At 38.3% G+C, this 23,004-nt stretch overlaps 1 protein-coding gene across 4 annotated transcripts in view; it reads right to left on the reverse strand.

The window, feature by feature from the left end:
• Positions 1 to 23,004, reverse strand: part of LRP2 (LDL receptor related protein 2) — a 235,426-nt gene that overhangs the window by 97,142 nt on the left and 115,280 nt on the right. For all 4 annotated transcript variants that reach the window (XM_011511183.4, NM_004525.3, XM_047444340.1 and 1 more), the window contains 13 exons: positions 22,455 to 22,736; positions 20,443 to 20,682; positions 19,153 to 19,272; positions 18,706 to 18,822; positions 16,738 to 17,115; positions 15,277 to 15,525; positions 13,841 to 14,052; positions 12,853 to 13,037; positions 11,590 to 11,818; positions 9,161 to 9,338; positions 7,464 to 7,592; positions 2,172 to 2,338; positions 1,060 to 1,203 (listed from right to left, as the gene is read on the reverse strand). In XM_011511183.4, coding sequence (XP_011509485.1) covers positions 1,060 to 1,203; positions 2,172 to 2,338; positions 7,464 to 7,592; positions 9,161 to 9,338; positions 11,590 to 11,818; positions 12,853 to 13,037; positions 13,841 to 14,052; positions 15,277 to 15,525; positions 16,738 to 17,115; positions 18,706 to 18,822; positions 19,153 to 19,272; positions 20,443 to 20,682; positions 22,455 to 22,736 — 2,630 coding nt within the window. The remainder of the gene's footprint in view (positions 1 to 1,059; positions 1,204 to 2,171; positions 2,339 to 7,463; positions 7,593 to 9,160; positions 9,339 to 11,589; positions 11,819 to 12,852; positions 13,038 to 13,840; positions 14,053 to 15,276; positions 15,526 to 16,737; positions 17,116 to 18,705; positions 18,823 to 19,152; positions 19,273 to 20,442; positions 20,683 to 22,454; positions 22,737 to 23,004) is intronic.

Consider the following 23,004-nt stretch of genomic DNA (forward strand, 5'->3'; position numbering starts at 1 on the left):
GCTAACTATCCCCCTCCAAAAACTTCTCCTTGTTTTGGGAAGTTTCACTTTCAAAATTATTGTGAATTAATAATCCCTTCCATGTTTTACCCTTCTCTCAGAGTGGAGCAAACCAACACTAGTCAAGTTACCTCTGACTTACTTCATGTGATTTCATACCTGTGCCTCATCTAGAATTTCTTCTGGGAATTAGAGTAAAAAGAACACTTATCTTGAAGAAGAGAGTATCAAAGGAATTAGAATCAAGTTTCTACTTTCTGTTTTGCTGTTAGAAAAACTGTACTGGAGCCATAGAAAGATTTCCATCTAAGAACAGAGGCAAACTATAAATTTGGTTGAGAACTGAAATAGCATTGAAGATTAGATGAGGAAACATAGTAAAATTCTCTGCTTACCATAATCTTCCCTTTATGTTGAATTCCTTATGCAACTTTTATTTATCTTCTTATATATTATTTTGTAAATTACCTAAAACACTTTTATAGCAACAAGGTAGTATTGATAATTAGGAGGAAACAAAATAGAGCAATAGAAAGCTCAAATAATTTATTTTTGCCAGCCAGGCGTGGTGGCTCATGCCTATAATCCCAACACTTTGGGAGGTCAAGGCGGGTGGATCACTTGAGGTCAGGTGTTCAAGACCAGCCTGGCCAACATGGTGAAACCCCGTCTCTACTAAAAATACAAAAAATTAACTAGGCTTGGTGGTGCACGCCTGTAATCCCAGCTACTCGGGTGGCTGAGACAGGAGAATTGCTTGAACCCAGGAGCCAGAGGTTGCAGTGAGCCAAGGTCTTGCCACTGCACTCCAGCCTGGGCGACAGAGTGAGACTTTGTCTAAAAAAAAAATAAATAAATAAATAAAAATAAATTTAAAAAAAATTTTAAGGTGGTTTTCCTCTTTCACTTCAGAGACTTTGATAGTTAACACTAATATCTTTTCCCTTTTTCTTTTTGCTTAAAAATGATTCCAAAATCCACGTGAGATCTATTCCTGAGACTAGAGTTTACATCAATCTAAATCCAATGTTTGTGTAAGTAGTATTATGGAATCATTACCTCGATTGACTGAGTTCTAGGATTGGTAGAATAAAGGTTTCTTGAAATCCAATCTAAGGCCAGGTTCATAGAAGGCCCCACCATAGATATAGAAGCAAATACTGTCCTGTTGGTGCCATCTGTCTTCACTCTGTGAATTTCACCCTGGAAAGAAAGACAAGGGGAGGTGAGCAGTTCCAAGGCCATGGCTCCTACAAAAGAACCCTTTCTTCACTGTGGCTACTGCCAGCTGCTGTATTTCTTGAACAGTCCTTACACTCAGAGGAAAGGCAAACAAAGGTTCAGCACCACTGGGTAGGCTTCAAACGATTTTTCAGTGTGTCACAGGAATACACAAGGCTTACCATTCAGGCTATCTCCAGTACTGGCTACAGAGATAGTTCTTAACTACCACAAGCATACAAGTCATGAGAAAAACCCAAGTCACAGATGTGGATCAGAAGACCAGGAGTATATTTTGTATATAGGTGACAAACATGAAACACAAAGATTTTTCTTCTCTTCCTCCTTTATAGTCTTCTTGCTCTTTCCCTATTCTTACAGGTTTTTTCCCTGAAGGCTGAAGAAAATGACCTCTGAGGAAGAGAACTGGAGAAGTGTTCATTCTTACCCTAGAGGCAAATATTCTAAAGGATTCTAAAGGAAGGCCCCAGCACCACATCAAATGCTTTCACTAAATTCCCTTAGGGAGCTACTACTTTTATCTTGAGTTTTGATCATTTTTATATTCGTCGAATATTTTCTACTAGCTTAAGACTCCTCTAGGGGCAAGCATTGTGACTGCTGCTTCTTGGCATGTATTCTGTGGTTAGAAGCAGGTAATTCAGTGCAGGGCAAATCATAGGCACTTCTGGAAAATACTTGCTGAATGAGTAAATAATACACAATAGCTTAAATTTGTTTCTTATTCTGAAGCTAAAGAGTGTTATGATTTTTGCTCCAGGCCAAGCTCACATATATACCCCTCATTGAATCAAAAAACTTAGGGATAAATTTATTTCCACATTGTTTCCCTTTTACTCACATGACAAAAGTTTGCTTATAAGAAAACATCAGTGCAGGCAGGCTCTTCAAGAATAAATTATATACTTTGAATGTTATTCAAAACTTACTGGATTTTCAACCCAATAGATGTATTGCTCAGCATCATCAAATTCAACATCTAAACCATTCTGTATCCCTGCTATGGGGACCATAGCATCATTGCTCTTCACCTCAGGATTAAGGGAGATTCCAAAAATTATATGTTGCCTTACAGTTATTAAGAAAGGTTGATCATCTGTGAAAATAGAAGAATATCAGTCAAAATCATATCCCACTATTCCCAGACATTTAGAGTAATGGAAGGCAATAGCCTGTTACCATCATATGGGCTAAAATGACATTGCAGCATTGCAGCAATAAATATAATGTACTTCATCAGACAAGCATGGGCCTTTCCCAGGGTTTCAGTGGGCTGCTGGACCACAAGACCTCCAACCCCACATACAACGCTGTCTGGACTTTTTCAAGGCAGGTTGGTATTTATCTTACTCTTCATTAAGTCCTTACTTACACTAATAAACCACCCATGTTTGCTAAACCTCACAGACAGGAAGTTCTTCCACTTCTACACACAGACAAACCTCACTCACACTGATCTCAGGGAAAGGAGAGTTGAGTTTTGAAAAAAAAAAAGTGAAAAAAATCATTGAGACTATTCTTGTGAAAGGCAGCTTACTAGTTTTAAGAATGTTCCAAAAATAAAACAACACTACAAAGTGTTGCCTAGTATTTATTGAGACTTTAATAAATAAATCCAATGTATAATCCTATCAGTTGTTACTTGACTAGTGTCTCTCTTCCCTATAAGATTTTAACTCCCAAAGGTCAATGACTGTGTCTGATTTGCTCATTATTGTGTCCCAGGGCCTGGTACTCAGAGCCTGGCATAAAATAGTTGCCCAATAAATGTTTGATAACTAAATGGATGACCATATGACTGCATTAATGGATGAATGTATAAGTGAATAAGTAAACAGTATCTTCCAAAGTTCTCAAAACTGTCTACACATTGTAATTTAAACATTCCCATAATATCTTAAACTATCAGTTCACTTATCTCCTTAATAGATAATAAAAGTTCCTTTTTCAAAAATAATTTAATCTTTATCCTGATCCCCATCAAGAGTGGGGTTTTAAAATTCCTCTCTGAGAAAAGGAAAACTTTTGAATCTAAGTTTTGGGTTAAGATATATGTATAAGATATATCACATATTAAGACAAAGTATGAAATGATTAATCATTACACAACTTTCATAAGCTAAAAATGATGTTTTCATTATTTTTATAATCCGGGAAGCTTTCCATCTTCAGCAGGATGACTTGGTCATTTTTTCTTTACTTATTTTCACATCTCATTAGCTTTTTCTTGTTCCTATCATTTCTATTACTGAGAAATAACCCAGTCTTTATTAACCTAGGACAAATTTAAATTTAGTCTAATGTAAATTTCGCAACTATTAATGCTTTACATTTTTCAAGTACTACAATGTAGAGTCTTCCACAACAAGCCTGCAAAGTTGTTTTCAGCTGGAGCAAATGAGATTTGCAGGAGCTCTGTGACTTCTGCAGGAAACAGTAATAGGAGATGGACCCTGGCTCATTCACTTCCAGGCCCTTCTTCTCTCAGCTGCTCCACATTGCCTCTCTTCTGAACAACTGCAATTGCAATAAAAATCGCTTCTCATTGATTGAGAATATGCGCCATACTGCATGCATCAGGTAAGTATTTCCCTTAATTTATCTCCCTCAAGTTTCCTAATCTTGTTTGTTAGATAGGTCCTCCCTCAATTTGCAAATAAGACACAAAGAAATCAAGCAATTTAAACGAGGTCACACAACCAGGACTCCTGGACTCCAAAATCTACGTTTTTCATCACTACACTGCAAATACCGCAGGCCAGGTACTATTTCTTGAGTATCAAATTACCACTCATTTCATTTGGTTTAACTGCAACAGTAAAAAAAAAAAAAAAAATGCTAGATTATGAGTTTCAGCTGTACCAAGAAATTATATTGAGATGATATTTAATTATTTATTGATTATCTGTTATTAATGTTCACTGGCTCAGTAGAAACTATCTCTGTCCCAGTTTTATGGGGGACTTTAAATTTTTACTCACTTACGTAAGATCTGATCCTGCCCTTTTGAATGGGTCATCTCCCTTTGCTTAATTGGAATAATTCTCAACCAAAGCATTGTTTAGGGCCTAAAAACTTTGCATATCTCATCCATTATGCATGGGCCTTCTTGACTCTTCCATGGTGCTCTTCCCTTAAGCACCACCCGCTTCTACTGCTTCCTGGGGATCATGTCTCAAGCCCTTTATCTGATAACTGCTGATGTACTGAGAACGTTTACCACCAATGAACATTTGCAAGCAATGGACCAGAGAACAGGATCTCCTGCAATGCTGCGCTGGCTGAAACTGTGAGCATCATGGTGGGGGATGATGCCAGGGGAGTAATAGAAAGGAACTGGCCAGTAAGACAACAGGTGGCGCAGGGAGATGCCTGAAAAGTGCTATATGGGAAAGCAAAAAGAAGTGACTTCACAACACTGCACACATTTCTACGGAGCAAACGGGTAAAAATCAGAGGACTGGGGAAGTAACAAAAATGGATATTGGAGAGCTTGTCATTCACTCAACATTTACTGAGTGCCACCATGTACCACGAAGTGCCACAGGCAATAAGCATACATCTACAGACCAGGTAGAGGCTTTATCCTCAAGGAACGCAGCATCTAGAGGGCAAGACCAAGTATATGAGCCCTTACAATTATGACAATGGCATGAAGGGGTAGGCACAGAATCATCTAGGGTTGGATGGAAAGGAATTCAGGAGGTGGTGACGGTTAAGTAGGTCAGTGTGTCTCTGTCTTTTGAAGTTAAAGATCATCTCTTCATTTCTATTTTCCATGTCATAATCCCATTAATGTTAGTGTCAGCAGAGTCATGAAGACACTATAGTCAGGAATGAGAACTCAGTGTTGTAATTGAACGACAATATATATGACCCCCAAACCTAGGTCCTCCTTAAGTCATACCCTGCACAAGCTGATCAGCACTGCAGCCTTCCCTGGAGCAAGGACAAGGAGTGTTCTCTTATCTTGCACAAAATCACTGAAGCAAGTGCCTTGTGCCCCTGAGACCGAGTCAGAAGTCTATTTGTATTTGGAGTAATTTTAGGGGTGCTGAGGTGATGTTTGGCTTGAGTTTTGTTTGTTCATTTGGTTTTGGCATTGTGGGGAATATATTTTCTAAAGAATTTAAAAAGTCTCATACAGAGAAAGCACTCATTATAACATAAAATTAGAAATAAGTAGAACCATCTCATAATTCCCCTATCCAACTGTAACCACTATTGGCACTTGTGTGTTTTTGCTTCCAGAAACTTGTGTGTTTTTTAATGCATGTTTTTACAAGGCCAATATTGTGCAATATCTGCTTCTTTTACTTAACAGCATCACAGAAGCACTTCTACATATATTCCAGCCTCTTAGTAAACACTAGTTGAAAAGCTATTCAACAATCAAATCAAGTAAAATGTTTCCACCTATAAATGTTAACAAGTTTTCTAAACTTCTTGTTGGGGAAAAAAAAATGTGGAAACCTTTTTTCATTTAACATATATTGGCAATCAGTTACTCAGCTGGTGCTCTGAAACCTACTGGGAAATACTTAAAAAGTTCCACTTCGGTAAAGTCAACCCATGAGAAAACCACTAGTGGAATTATTTGTGAAACAACAAAAGGCACTATTTAAAATTAACACTTATCAATCATCATCAGAGAGTAATATTGATTACACCAACCCCCAATGTGCAATTCAACAGTCTTTGTGTGCTGAAAGAATGCTTTGTATCCGAAATGTCTACAGCCCAGTTTAATCTTCTCCTGAAAGACTCTAGGAACACACTAAATTAAACAATGTCAACGAGGATTAGGTACATAATAAGTCTCTGAGGAAAAATGGCAAGTGCCAGTCCCTCTGTGAGAATTACCAATAATTAAAATCTTTCATCATGAAAGTATCATTGCACAATATTACATGCTGATGGAATTTGATTTTCAGTAAGCCTACATCTGCATAATATCTAAACACTAAAAGTTTCCTGAATTCAGTATATATTTTCCATTCTAGATTAGGACTAAATTTCCTTCTAGATTAGGACTCTATTATCTCTTAATTTAGGAATATGTGATCATTAAACATTTAAGTTGAACTTGTCTACAGCAATTTTCATCAGTATCAAAATATATTCATTCAGTTCTCTTCACTGAGAAACGAAAGGGAACTTGGGTTTAGAGTAACTTCTTAGATTTTTAAGCAATAAGGAATTATATTTTTAAGTGTATTATATACAAGTACACACTCCAGAAGAAATCTCTTTTGTGAACTGGATGCAACTTTTCCTTCTTTTCTTACTCCCTTAAGTACTTGGTATAATCCTCCACACACTCTTCAATCGACCCAATAAAATATCTCTAGGATGAGATAAATATTAAATTGCTCAGTCACTTGTAATATCTCATACCAACACAATTCTCCTTCTTAAAGTATCAGATGGTAATAGTAACAGTACTGAAATTGGAGTCAGAAGACCCAGGCTAGAACACTCATTAACTATTGGTTATAAGAATAAAAATGAGACAATGGAGCCAGGTGCAGTGGTCCACGTCTGTAATCCCAGCACTTTGGGAGGCTAAGGCAAGTGGATGGCCTGAGGGCAGAACTTGGAGACCAGCCTGGGCAACATGGCAAAACCCGGTCTCTACAAAAAATACAAAAATTAGCCGGGTGTGGTGGCGTGCACCTATAGTCTCATCTACTCAGGAGGCTGAGGTGGGAGAATCACAGGGGCCCGGAAAGTGGAGGCTACAGTGAGCTATGATTACGCCATTGCACTACAGTCTGGGCATCAGAGCAAGACCCTGTCTCAGAAAGAAAAAAAAAAGAAAGAAAGAAAAAAGAAAAAAAAAAGAGGGAGAAAGAGACAATGGACATAAAAAATGAAGCTGTACACAAACGTTGAGAATGTTTACTTCTTAGGTGAAGAATTTGGAACTTCCCATTATCATGGCTTGTCAGAGAAGTCTAACTGTACCCAGGTGAGAGAAAATATGAGGTTACAGATTGTTCAATTACATGCACAGATAACATTAGTTCCATATACAGAAACTGTATTACAACCAAGGCACACAGTGACATCACCCCATACAACACACATCATTCTGCAGACACCTGAGGAATCAAAGGACACAGCACATGTTCAGTCGCAATTGGTTTTAGAGTTTCCACTGCTTGGCACAAACTATGACCAGCTCCATCTTCAGAGCTCACATAAGGAGCATACTATACCTCTCAAGCAATTCAGGAGATCAGGAGACAGACTCCATCCTGAAGGACAAACACAGGAGTAAAAATGAGGCCCCTGTGAGGAAAGCAGGCAGAGATGGCTGCAGCGGGAAAAGGCACATGGATTCACGGCTGCATGAGAAAGAGAAGAAAGCACCAGTAAGTGGAAAACCTCCACATTAAAATCAAAACAGAGTCATGCTCTTAGTGTCCTTCCAGAGGCCCCAGTACAGGGGGGCTTAAGTACGTTGTTACCTCTGTTGTTTTCTTTTGTTTTGTTTTCACTGAACTACTCACACTTTCAACTTCCCTAGCATCAGGCTTTCAACTTAGAATTCATAAGAGACACGAGAGAGGAGAATGACTCAAGGTTACAGATCAATCCAGTCTATAACTGGATTACGAACAAACAGCCACTGAGTAATCTGGAACTTGTAATAGAAATATGATGCCAAATAATCTGTCTCCTTACCTGACCTAAAAGAGATCTTTTTGCATTAAAAAAAAAAAAAGTTGTGTGTTTGATGTGTGACCTTGTAGTTTACCTAGAGTTTTCCAGATTTTGGTTAGATAATAATCTTTTATTTTTCTACTGATGATATCTCTGTGTGTCTCTGCACCTTGAAAATCAGGATTCTGTGTGGTCCCCACACACAGGATGTTTCCTAGATCCTATACATTTTTATTACACATACCATGTTATTAATAGATTATTAATCCATTCATTCACCAGAAAAATGGTAGGTATTCACTGTAAACCAAACACCATTCTAAGCACTGGGGACGCTATAAAAGTGGAGTATATATTCGAGCAAAAAGAAACAACTAAACTCAGAGAGAGAGAGAGAGGTTTCAGAACATGAGGGTAAAGAGCAAAAGAATTATGAGGGGGTGGCTATTTTAGGTAGAGCGGTCAATGAGGGCCTCTCTGAGAAAGTGACATTTGGGTAGAATCCTAAATAGCACGCGAAGCAACTCATGCAGAGATCTGGAAGAGAGATGTTCCAGGTAGAGGGAAGAGCTAGCGCAGAAGCTGAGAGGCAGGAGTCGCCTGCTGTGCTTTTGGACCATAATGAAATCCAATGTGGCAACAGCGAGTGGGAGAAGAGAGCAGGGAAATAGCAGCAGCCACATGCTGAAGGGTGTGAGAAACAATTGGAGAGTTTTGAGGAGAGAGGATTAAGTGAAGATTAAGTGACTTATCTCCCTCTCCCACCAGAAAGAACAGTACGGATGCCAAGTCTTTCACCTAGACACCCATACCATGCACTTTAGGACAACTCGTGCTGGCTACAGCAGAGCACCTAGAAGGCAGTGGTGCCATAATAAACTAGTCCTAAAAGTAAGCTGCTTTCAATCAGAGTGGTAGCGGTAAGAGGATCGAAGGCACTATCTGGTCTGTACTCCATTTGTCAGCTGAGGAAACGGAGACTCATGTGAGGGTCAAAGAGGTAGCAGCCAAATGCTGAAATGATATAATTCAGATGTGCTGTTATTATATCCTAGGTTTGAAATTTCCATGGTAAATAAAAGTAATGGCAATGTCAGGACTAGGGAAAGTATATAGTGGGGTGGTTTGTAAAGAGAAAAGGAAAATGTATTGTCCAAACAAATGGGTCTGTAACAGTGTGCATTTAGCATTCCCAGGGTCAGTGTTTTTCAAGCTACTCCCAGGCAGGATGTTTCTCTGTATCACTCACAATTTGGTTGTTTCGAAGGATGAACCGCAACAATCCCAAGGGGCCATTGAATATTATACATTACAACTGACTGGTTCCCTCCATGCCACTTGTTGGCTCGCATAACCCGACGAGTAGCACGGTCAGTCCAGTACACAGAGTCTTCAAAGAGAGTTAGGGCATAGGGGTGCCGTATAATCTGTGAGGCAGAAGAGAACAGTGAGACCTCATCCAAAAATCAAAGCCAAGGTGCACTGAGTCAAAGAGGATATCTGCTCAAGAAGACGGTTTCCTTTAACATGTCATTATTTAATAAAAACACAAGGAAGTCATTGTGCAAAAGAGCGGCAAAAAATACACAATTCGTCCTATATCCCACTAAACCATTCAAGAGCCTTTCACATACACGTGCCATTTACTCTTTATGTTTGCCTTGGTAATTACACTGGGCATCTATTTTACAAATGAAAACAAAACTGAAGCACAAAAAGCAAGGTGATGTATCCGGATCACCTACTAGTTAAAAGTTAGATGGAACTAGAGAGCTTAGAGACTCCTCATCTCCCACTCCCACGCCCCAGCCTTCACTCCACCATCAGCACACTTGTGCCGGCTATTTCCACGGTCTTGTGCTGCCACTCACTGATTCACATCAATCTGTTATAGTTTAGATGCATCTTTCCTTCAAGTCACAGCAACTATACAATAGCAATTTTTTCTCTTTTTTAAATTGTTTTTAATTTTTTATTTTTTATTTTACTTTAAGTTCTGGGATACATGTGCAGAACGTGCAGGTTTGTTACATAGGTATACATGTGCCATGGTGGTTTGCTGCACCCATCAACCCATCATCTAGGTTTTAACCCTCACATGCATTAGATATTTGTCCTAATGCTCTCCCTCCCCTTGCCCCCACCCACTGACAGGCCCCGGTGTGTGATGTTCCCCTCCCTGTGTCCATGTGTTCTCATTGTTCAACTCTCACTTATGAGTGACAACATGAAGTGTTTGGTTTTCTGTTCTTGTGTTAGTTTGCTGAAAATGATGGTTTCCAGCTTCATCCATATCCCTGCAAAGGACATGAACTCATTCTTTTTTATGGCTGCATAGTAGTCCATGATGTATATGTCTATCATTAATGGGCATTTGTGTTAGTTCCAAGTCTTTGCTATTGTAAATAGTGCTGCAATAACATATGAGTGCATGTGTCTTTATAGTAGAATGATTTATATTCCTTTGGGTATATACCCAGTAATGGGATTGCTGGGTCAAATGGTATTTCTGGTTCTAGATCCCTGAGGAATTGCCACACTATCTTCCACAATGGTTGAACTAATTTACACTCCCACCAACAGTGTAAAAGCATTCCTATTTTTAATGGGGGTCAATAACAGCTCTTTGATAAAATATCTATTTTCTTTATTTTCCCATTTAACTTGTGAAAATAAATTCAACAGAATTTATAGAATAAAAAATGTTATGTGAAGAACAAGACTGAGAAATATAAATCTAGTTAATTTTTGTTTTTTTTTTTTTTGAAAACAGGGTCTCACTTTGTCACCCAGGCTGGAGTGCAGTGGCACAATCACAGCTCACTACAGCCTTGACCTCCCTGGGTTCAGGCAATCCTCCCACCTCAGCCTCCCAAGTAGTTGGGACTATAGGCAAACACCCCCATGCCCAGCTAATTTTTGTATTTTTTTGTAGAAATGGGGTTTTGCCATGTTACCCAGGCTGGTCTTGAACTCCTGGGCTCAAGCGATCCACCAACCTCAGCCTCCCAAAGTGCTAGGATTACAGATGTGAGACAATGTGCCTGGCCAAGTTAAGTTATAAATTTTTGCTTGAAAAAAATTTTTTTTTTTTTTGAGATGGAGTCTCACTCTGTCACCTAGGCTGGAGTGCAGTGAGGCAATCTCAGCTCACTGCAACCTCTGCTTCCCGGGTTCAAGCAATTTTCCTGTCTCAGCTTCCCGAATAGCTGAGACTATAGGTGTGTGCTACCACACTGGCTAATTTTTGTGTTTTTAGTAGAGATGAGGTTTCACCATGTTGGCCAGGCTGGTCTCAAACTCCTGACCTCAGATGATCCACCCACCTCGGCCTCCCAAAGTGCTGGGATCACAGGCGTGAGCCACCGCGCCCGGCCACCTGACACAATTTTTAAAGGTATAGAAGCAACAGATTCACATCTGCAGCTCAACTAAATCACACGAGCTATAAAAATCCTTCCTGGATATGGCACAAGCTGACCATGAACTGGAATGAAAATATTCATTTTCCAGTTAGTCATATGGGATAGACTGCCTCTCACTGTTGCTGGTATTTCCTGGATTGATCTGACAATGTCTATGACACAAAAATTAATTTCTTAGCTTTTCTGATACTCGTCTGATTTCTACCTATCCACGACTGTAGTTTTAATTTGGTTTTCCTCACCACCAACTTACCAAATCACTGGCTATCACCTGTCTCCGATGGTGTCCATTATAATCACAAAAGTCCATGTAATCAAGATAGGAGTCCATGAAGTAGAGCAGTCTGTTGGGGTAGTCAATAGTTAAGCCGCAGGGCCAGAAGATCTTGTCCTGGACAATGACAGTGCGCATGCTGCCGTCCATGCTGGCTCGCTCGATGCGAGGGTGGTGGCCCCAGTCAGACCAGAACAGTAGATGCTCACTGGGAAAGGAAATGAGTTACCAATTGGAGGGGACGTATTTAAATATTAAAAATAACTGTCATTTTAAATAATACAACATCCTGTTTATGCCCTGCTTAAAATAAATCATCTCTGGTTCAGAATATATTCACAGAGTTTATTGTTTCCTCTAAGTGTCACAAAGTAAAACTGTCATAACACAATCACAACCCATCTGGGTATTTTTATAATGTTCATAAAACATGTAATACATAATGTCATAATGTAGTACATTATGACATTGAAATGTCTCAATGCCAATTCATGTTTGTTTATAATCCACAAATAGTTGATCTAGAAAAATCCATCTGTCCTTGTTTGTCTACCCTGTCATGTTTTTAGATAAGGAAATCAATTTATTCTTCATCAGGAATTCATCATAAATTTCAGTGGTGTGTAATACTTTACAATATCTAGGAATTCAACATCACATTGAACATAACTTGCCTAATTTACCATCCTGCAGAAAAGAATCTAAGTTATAAAATATAAGTAAATTCAGGGAAAGAAATCCTCAAAGATTTCCAAACACATGGGAGAATTTCTCTATCTTCCCTTCAGGATCAGCAGGCAAAAACTGCCTTCCTTATATGACTTAAAAGGGAGCTCTAATAAACAACATAAAACTGAAGCAGAAAAATCCAGCTTTTTTGTTGTATAATCATGAGTTATCAAAGTTACATCAAACTGGCCCCTCTATGGACTATTACTGCATGCAGTAATTAGAAACTTAATTTTTAATTATATGACATTTCAAAAATTGTATTGCCAAGCTAATAAATCAATGTGCTCTTAAAATAAAGTAAACAATCAATTGCTCTTATGTACTTTATGAAGAGGATGATTCAGATGAAGGAGAGATAGCAACACCCAGTTGGACACCTACCATGTTTAAACAAGGGATCATTTTAAATTTTGCATATCAGCAACATGCATATCAGCTACATCATGTTACTGTTGTTTTTCCCTCATCATAACCATGTCAAGGCAACATAATTTTAAAAAAAAGTCTTACTTCATTCTGGGATCTAATGCTAGTCCTCTTGGATTTGTTAGGTTTTTACTAATCAGCACAGTCCTGTGGCTCCCATCAATTTTGGAGACTTCAATTGTTTCCAGAGCATAGTCTGTCCAGTAAAGATTACGACCTACCCAATCTATTGCAATAGTTTCAGTCAAGATGATGCTACTGTCAAATACCTAAAGACAAAAGTGAATAAAGAGTGAATTCTAGAGCAAATAAATGAATGCAAACATGGATATTATATAAAAATCTAGATTAAACCATCTAACTTGTCCTATAATTACTTGTGGGGATTAGAAAATTTTGTCTCCTCATGTAGCTAACCACCAAATCAACAGCAGGGTTTTCTGAGAAAAGTATACAAGATTTTGTCACACTGAACATTCTAAGATGACTTCATTGTTTGGTTAGTGCATAGTTTCGTTTTGGTTTCAAAAGTTTTTGCAATTAAGAAAAAGCTCTATCCATTTGCTTAGTTGGCAACATTACAAAATGTTATAGTGTTTGCATGCAACGAATAATATCTCTATTAATTAAGGACCAAGAATTACAAAATAAAGTTGTAAGAGGCAGAGGAAATGTAACTATCAGGAGCCAAGAAACTGAAATTCTGGGAGATGGATTGAGAAATATCACTAAATTAAAGCTAAGAAAAGCAACCCCTTAACTTTCCTGCACTTTCCTCTGCTCTCATCCACAAGAAAAGACTGCAAAAGGAACCGTAAAGACATTGTGAGGTCTCTGCATCACCTGACCTGGAATTCAGAATCACACATCTGCATTCAGAGGCCACCCTCCTATCTAAAACAGCCATAAATTCGTAGTTATGAACACGCAAGTCTCTTGGGTATGATGTGGCCCAGAAGGTACCATGAGAGCTACCCAGATGAGGTAGGGCCTTCTCTCACTGGTGAATAACAGCAAACAGACCCAAGACAGAGGAACTAGCCAGGCCAAAGGTCAACAGAAATGTACTTACCACTCTTCTGTCCGTTCCATTTTGAAACGCACTCCAGGTTTTACCCTGAGTTGCATCAGACCAAAAGATACGACCACTAATTGAATCAAAATCAACAGCTACAATGTAAGAACCATTCTCGACCAATGAATAGATATTGTGGACCTGGGAGGTGACACTGTCGGCAATAATTTTGTTCTGACTTGCCACAAGTAACAGCAGACTCTCAGATGCTGTTCAAGAAAAAAATGCAAAAATGTCAATGATACTGGGAGAAAACACAAAACAACTCTTTAAAACTTTTGATTCAATACTTTTGGTAACAGAAAGAAGGTGTAATTCCAAACTATAGTAAGTTGGTGGGGAGGGGAGGAAGCCCCATATGAATGATTTTAATCACTTCATTCTTAACCTTAATAGTTAGCTGGTTTTCATGAGTACTTAAAATAGACTCTTTCTTGGGTTATATTTAACTGTGTTTCTAAATACTAGTCTAGAGTAAACTATGCTTACATTCTTCCTTTTACTGTATTTATTTTTGTACTTTGGTTATCTTCCTTACTATTTAATAGGTTGTAGGCTTCTGGACAGCAGGAATCATGTCTTAAATATTTCTGTTTTCTGAGGCCCTCAGCTATGGTAGAGAGTTCTAATTCTCCCAACACCCCCTCTCTTCTTTTTCTTTTTAGTAATAAAGCATGCCAAGTTTTAGCTTGGCACAGACTCTCCAGCCAGAGACATTTCTCTCCCTCCACTGAAGTTTGGAGTGACCACATGACTAAGTTCTGACCAATAGGATGTGAGTAGAAATTACGAATCAAATCTCAGGTCACATTCTAAAAAGGAAGCTGCTTGCCCTCCACTTTCTCTTTCCCCTTCCTACTTTCTAAGAGAAGCTAAAACCTGGAGCATTGGAACCCTTGATGTAAGCCACATGATGAGGATAACAGAGCAGACCCCATGCCCTGGACTCTCTGACATCCAGACTCCTACTACATGTAAAAGAAAGAAACTTTCTGTTTTTGTTTTAGCTTCCTCTATTTGGTCACTTTGAAAGTGGTCAAATCAATATCCTAATACATAGTAAAAAGCACTTTCTTATAGCAGAAATTGAATTAATACTGGTTGAATTCAATTAAGCATTATATAAAGATGCTTAAATATAGTATAGAACTCATTTTAAATTATATAAAAGCCATTTGGTATTATTTTAAATACTTTAAAAATCATTGACTTGTATATGTTTTAACCTCTATTTTCCAAAATACACCAGGATTTTAATGTGTATTACCCCATTTAATCCTCACAAAAAATTGAGGTTTAAAGAGATTGCATAATCTTTCCAGGATTCAAGTCGATCTAACTCCTAATCAACATTGTCAAATACCTACATGTGCCATTTGATTTTAAGCTCTGGGATGTGCTGATAAACTGGCTCGGGTTAGTTCAGCAATTACCTGTAACTTTGCAAGTCCTCCCATCACTTTCTAACATGTAGCCTGTATCACACGAGCACCGGAAAGAACCTCTCATATTGTAACAGTGCTGGCTACAAGAGCCTAGAATATCACATTCATCTATGTCTTCACAGGTCTTAGAATCATTGGCAAGTAAGAATCCCAATGGACATAGGCATTTAGCCCCAAAGGGCTCTTGAACACACTCGTGAGTACAACCACCATTGAAATCTGAGCAGCTGTTCCCATCTAGAAAAAAGAAAGAGAATAATGAAAAAAGAAAATCAAGAATCTTTGCTTCTTTGATTCACTCTTATGCAATATTTATTATGCAGTCTCATGCCACCTTCAATATGATGCCCAGACAAGAGCTAAGTGCAGCATGCACTTGGGTGAGTTCCACAGGCTGTTCAGGGTTTGCTCTAATTTGTCTGAGGATTTACCATCCTTCATATCCATTGGAGTATGATCACCTTCTTCACTACAACCCAATAGTATAACTCCATTTAATGCAATGAGAACCCTTGGGAAAATATTGTTGACATCAAGGAAGAAAAGTGTCATTGATAGAGCATGCAAAGACACTTAAAATTGTTTCTCGTTTTCTTCCTCTGAAATTCTACTATCTATACAGAAATGGAAGATAGACAAACATTTAAGAGAAAAGACCAGAAAATCTATGAAGTGAACAAATCAAAGGGGAAAGGTCATTGAAATATTAGAGTACACAGATCCGGTAACATATCGTCATGCCTTACTTTCAGGGCCAAAATGAAAATGCCTAAAGCCACCCTAAGACAGTTCACATGCCTGGGGATGCAAATGCCTTCTATTTCCATGTGTACTCTAACATATTTGTAAGAGTCATAACACAGAACATGCGTTAGAAAGGGAAGTAAGTTAATATAATCAGGACATTTTCAGAACAAACACAACACATATGAAATCATAAGAATCTGAAATACTTCACAATCATACCTGGCTGGGGTTCATCTGAGAGTGAGCATTGATTAAAGAGGAAAGAAAGAAATGACAGTAATTAGGATTACATGCCAATCACAGCACTTTAATCACAGCAACACAAATCCCTGGACTTCATTTTTTTGTGATAAGTTCTGATTGAAATTAGAAAATATTAAAGTTAGAAAAATTAATGAGCACATTACCAACAGAACCAAATTTAATTTGACAATCTAATGGCCTCAATTTAGTCTCATTTTTTGAAACAAAGACATAAAAAGAAGTAAAAACACATAACCAAGTACAAAGGATTTAATCAGAAAATTATCCAATGGTGATGTATTTGAATTCAATTATGGTTACCCCCTACACAGATGTGAACTCATAGAGGAACTGAAATCCTTCCTACAAAGCTACACAGTGACTGTGACAATGGTGATGCACACCAGGCTACTGTTCAGAATGAGTTTATGGCCAGTAAACTGTGGTCAGGAAACTTACTGCAAAGTGGGGACTCATCTGTCCCATTGGGGCAGTCAAAGATGCCATCACACACTACACTCAGATTCACACAGATGTTATGGCCAAGACACTGCCATTGCCAACTAGGACAGCGAAAGGGCTGAGTAGGGCAGTCCTTCTCATCACTCATATCCCCGCAGTCATTGTCCCGATCACAGAGCCATGCCCTGTGGATGCAGTTTCCGTTGTCACAGTGGAAATATGATGAAGGGCAAGTCTTGGGGACACAGGCATTGTGCTCATCAGATCCATAGAGGCAGTCTGGATGCCCATCACATTCCCAGAAGTTCGGGATGCAGATACCATCTTCTTGGCACTGAAATTCATCTGAGTGGCACATACCAGGAGGCCTGGTTGCTAGAAGGAAAACATGGGGTAAATCGGCTTGTGAATGTAATTTGTGATCCCTTTTATAGTCTAGACTCAGAGGAAATGATTTTGGATCCAATAGTAGGTTTATAGTAACAACTATGACCAAATTAATATTTAAGGCTAAATGATATAGAGTCTTCTCCCACACTCTAGTACATAGAAATATTTCTTTGTGGCAGCTAGTGGCTCTGACAACAAACGAAGTACAGAACGCACAACTGCTGACTAGCAGATGAGTACCTGTGTCAAAAGAACATCCTGTTTCCTTTTCCTGTGTTTTTAATGTACTTCCAATTGCAGATTCAATAATAAAGTTTATCTATCTTTCTATGAAAGAATCACCAGAACATTACAATAGAGCTTAAATAGCTATGATTACTTTGAACTTCATGTGTTTCATATCATGTTTGGGTGTTATTATTTTCCCTCAGATGAACTATACCTAATGAAACCATCACACACTAACTAAAGATGATGGTAAATACTCAGTTCTTTGCAAACTTTCCACTATTCATCAAGCAATCCTGGAGAGATACGTAAGAACTGCTTCCCTATTTGACAAGGGTAAACCAAAACTCTCTACCAGGGATCTCACAAGGCAACAGCAAGCCAGCGGCAATTGACAGTTTAACCTCAGCTCATCACAGAATTTTATGTTTTTAATGTGAAACAGGAAAATTAGTGATTAGTAATTTCTAGATGTTGTGCAAACTATAAAGTATATAAGCATTTTATTTAACTTTTCTTTTTAATCCATGGCTTTACACACTACCTTTCTGACGCAGGAGGAGAATTCATGAAAACTTACTTTTTTGGTCTAAAACACCATTGTTCAAACAAATGATCAACTCACTGATGAGTTTTTGCAAGTCTAAAATCCATTTAAAACAAAAAGTGGGCAAATAACAAATCATGTGAGTATAGGTTTCCAGTCTGTGAAGATTATAGATCCATCAGAATTATACTGTATGAAGTCCTACTTGAATCCTCCAACTAGAAGAAATTTCTTTTCTCTGAACCTCCATAGAATTTTATCTGTGCCATTTCTAAGACCCTTGTAACTGTCTATCTTGCTTAATTGTCTCTTGCCTTCTATAATCTCCATAGATAACATCTTAGCAGATATTCAACACATAATAGCACAAAGAATGAATTCATCAGAGTCAATACTAAACACAGCTCCATACCATTTCTACACCATGATATGACTTCTCTACTGAAACTTAAAAGAAACCAGTAAAATATCTTTATATGGAGTAGAGCCTCAAAAGTTTAAACCTACTAAAGTGGGAAGTCCTAAGAAAAACTAAAAGTGAAAACAAAAATATCTAAGAAATATTTAGCCCATCTAAGAGACTATTTGAAGTGTCCATTTATACAACCACTTGATTTGTTAATTACACATTATATGGCAATGTCTACTCAATTTTACTGTATGTTCAATACCACATTCCTTTGAGGATACTTTCCCCCAGTTTGTCTGAGTTAGGGAAAATGTGTGGCAATATCAATATCAATACTGGCAAAAATGAAATGACCCCTTTGTCTGAAACATTCTGGGTATGTGTTACTTACGACAGCCTGCTTCATCCGAGTTGTCACTGCAATCAAAAACACCATCACAACGATTTGTGACGCCAATACATTTATCCCCACTGGCACACTTGAATTGAGAAGCAGTACAGTTTAATACTAAGAATGAAAGAGAAAAGCATTAGAAATTAGCTCAGGGCTAAAATGACTAAACACTGAGATTTTTCTTTTTTGTTGTTATACTTTAAGTTCTGGAGTACATATGCAGAACATGCAGGTTTGTTACATAGGTATACACGTGCCATGGTGGTTTGCTGCACCCATCAACCCATCATCTACATTAGGTATTTCTCCTAATGCCATCCCTTCTCTAGCTCCCCACCCCCCAACAGGCCCCGGTGTGTGATGTTCCCCTCCCTGTGTCCATGTGTTAACACTGAGATTTTTCTAAATAAACATTGTGAATAAAAAAGAAGGCAATGCACTTACCACAACCAACCTCATCAGATCCATCAACACAATCCTTGTCACCATCACAGACAAACGATAGGTCAATACATCGATGATTGGGGCAATTAAACTGACTAGGTTGGCATGTCTCTGTCGAATCTAATGTCATCCGAAAACAAAACCAACAAGTTTATTTCCTGTGCAACAAGTACCAGAGCCAAACTAAAAATGGCTAAATAGCTACAGAAGTTATCTCAATTGTACATGGGTTCAAAATTCTTTTGAATCAGCCACACTATCAAAGTCAGCTAAGCAAAAGAACTCAAAACTAGGATAGGTTTTAGAATTGAGAATAAAAAGATTACAGGGCAGAGTCAGAAACTGTGATTACACCTTGGAAAATAGACCACATTCAGAAAGTGAGCATCATGTGCTTGGACTTGGACTACATTTCATGAATACTATGAAGTCCATGACTCTAGACCAAAGCCAAGCAATGGAGCCCAATCAGGCAACAAAACCAGCATGACCCACATGCCTAGTAGCAACAGTGTGTAGACAGACCCCCAAAACTGGATTTAAAAGTCTGAACAGAACAATTCTAAAAACCAGGGTCCTACCTTACTGTTAAGACCATAGCCTTGGAGTCGGATGCAGTGGCTGGCCCCACCCACAACATGAAATTATATTAAATACACACTTATAGGGTATGAAAGCTAGAAGGGATCTTAAAGCTCATCTATTCCAAATGATAGTGACTTGCCTAGTCAGGCAACCAGGACTAGAACTTAGCCCAGGGAACTTTGCTCCATCTTAAACTATTATTGAAGACATGAAATAAAACAACAAGCTAAAGGAAAGCAGAACTGGCAAGATGGAAAACAGGTGGATAAGATCAAAGGAAATTTAAATTTTCTGTGCCTCTTTATTTTGATGTCTTTTTGCTTGTACCAAATGAAAAAGAAACATCAATAGCCAAAGGTCTGGATATATCTATATGACTTTTAGTATTGTTTTAAATATATAAATAGATAGCTGAGGGATTTTCACTTTTTCAATTCCTATCTGAATTGAAATGTTTGGCATCAGAGGCAGTCCTTGCTTTGCTTCCATAGAACTCAATATTTGTAGGTGGACTCTAAGAATCCCATGTGCAGGCACGTGCCTTTGTTCTTGTAACCTATTGACACAGAGATTGACAAGTGGAATAGAAGTACTAAAGAGACAATGAAAATTGCATGAGCCTTAGAGGAAAGAATGCAAGGCCATTTGGTTGTTGAAGTCTATTTACGAGGCTGACCAACCAAGGGAAACCAGCTCAAAACTTACTGCAGTTCTTTTCATCAGATCCATCCCCACAATCATTGTCTGTGTCACAGACCCAGTTCTTTGAGATACACTGGTGATTATCACAGGTGTATTGGGTGTCAAGGCAGGAAGCAGGTGCGTGGGTGGGGCAGTTGTGCTCATCACTGCCATCCACACAGTCGTTGCGTTTGTCACAGCGCCAGTGTGCAGGAATGCACTCCCCATGGCCACAGGTGAACGCCGAAGATGAACAGGTATTATCTACAATAGTAACAAACTGGTCATGAAGACATTTGTTTTTACAGCCTTTTAAATGAGTTCTTGCCTTATAAAGGCTCAGTTCACCTTTTTTAATGGAGGCATTGTATATAATAAGGAGAAATGTTCATCAAGTGATGTCATCATCACTAACATCATTATTGGCTGGCATTTATTTGGTATTTATCATAGAAAAGGCATTTTTCTAAGTTATGCACCCACACACATCATATAAGTTCTCTTTAAATCCTCACAAGAATACTATAAAGTACATATAATTGTCTGCATTTTACAGATAAGGAAATTGAGTCTTTGAGAGATTTAGGAACCTGCCTATGATTCACGCTCTGGTTGGATTCACTCTAAAGCTCATCCTTAACTTTCAAGCTGTTACTTCCTCCAACCACAATTTCAAATTCAGACTATAGAAAGCTTGAAAATATGTCATATGAAAAGTGCAAATAGATAAAATATTAAGGTAAAATGCTGTGCTCTTAGAAACAAGAAGATAATACACAAAAAGATGAAAATTTAAAAAATTTCAGAAAAATGTACAAGTGAGCACTTTACTCTTGCAAATCTGTCACTCCTCTTTCTCTCCAAAAGAAAGGTTATTATTAGTATTAACTTCACCTTGATAGAGATTTCTGAGATTTCAACTGTCCTCTATCTTTTTTTTAATTTGAATGTAATACTTTTGCCTTCTGCAATAGTGTTTATTAGGCCCCAAACTATATAGACTAGATTACCGTCAAAAGAAGAATATAAAGGTTAAGACCACCATTTCATTGTTAATTTATTTTACTCTAACATGGGAGAAAAGGAATATAACACATGAGATTTTCCAAAGGCTATGATTGCAAGTAGTTATTCTGTGATACTATTCTCTCGGTTGCTAAATGTTAGGTCTACTTTATTTTTGGTTTTTGTTGTTGTTGTTGTTTGTTTGCTTATTTTTTTGAGGCAGGGCTTCACTCTGTTGCACAGGCTGAAGTACACGGCACAGTCTTGGCTAACTGCAGCCTCAACCTCCCCAGCTCAAACAACTCTCCCACCTCAGCCTCCCAAGTACAAATTTTTGTATTTTACAAATTTTGTGAAAATACAAAATACAAATTAGCTGGGTGTGGTGGCATGTGCCTGTAGTCCTAGCTACTTGTAATTTTGTTTTTTTTGTATTTTGTAATTTTGTATTTTGTAATAGTCCCAGCTATTTGTAATTTTATATACATATTTTTTTCTGAGCTCATCTATTTCTTTTTTATTTATTTATTATTATTATACTTTAAGTTTTAGGGTACATGTGCACAATGTGCAGGTTAGTTACATATGTATACATGTGCCATTTTATATTTTTTGTAGAGACCGGATTTCGTCATGTTTCCCAGGCTGGTCTCAAACTTCTGGACTTAAGCAATCCTCCTGTCTCGGCCTCCGATTACAGGCATGAGCCACCTTGCCTGGTCAGATCTAGTTTATTTCGATTTGACTTTTTGAGGAGTTTGCCAAGACATAATGACTGCATTGGTCCAAACAGCCAATGTCAAGGAAAAAAATTGTTGAAGATAGTCTAAATCAAGGCCAGAAACCATCCATAACATTATGAATGAAATTTCTTGCTTAGCTTCCTAAAAGCCTTCAAAGTGCATGTTAAGAATCTGAAATTCTAAAAGATATTTTTCCCATATAAATAGCCCAAGCTTTTATTTATTTTCTTTAAAGCCCACCTCTACTCTATTCATCCCAGGAAATATCGCCAGTGCATAGCTACTTACTAAGTGTGCCACATAGTTGCTCATCACTGTTATCATGACAATCATCGACTCCATCACAGAGATAGTAATTGGGCACACATCTGCCATTTTTACAGGGGAAGGAAAATAAGCCACACTGCTCTGTGGGTGGTTCATTGGTTGGGTCCCCCTCGCATGTCAAGTGATTGGAAGCCAGCCTCATTCCATAAGGGCACCCACACACTCGCTGGAAATTTGGCACCGGGAAGCAGAAGTGGCTGCAGTCACCGTTAGGATGCGTGGGTTGATTACAGGCGTTAGAACCTGCAAAAGCAAAGCCCCGAGGGAGTCAGTCATGTACATTTTCACTAGGTAGGTCACGGGTTTGATTTGTGAAGGAAAACAAACAGGACAAAACATTTTTCAGACCCAATACTAAAAAGTAGCTTCCTCTTGGAAATCAACCCGCCAAATACAACATTCCATTTAGGTATGGAAAAGTCCCAAAATGTGTTTTTCCTGACAACATGTTTAAGGCTAGCAGCATTGAACAGAGATTTCAAGTCTTACACTCTTAGATTATGTGAACGAC

This window comes from Homo sapiens, chromosome 2, assembly GCF_000001405.40.
Source record: "Homo sapiens chromosome 2, GRCh38.p14 Primary Assembly".
Taxonomy (NCBI): Eukaryota; Metazoa; Chordata; class Mammalia; order Primates; family Hominidae; genus Homo; species Homo sapiens.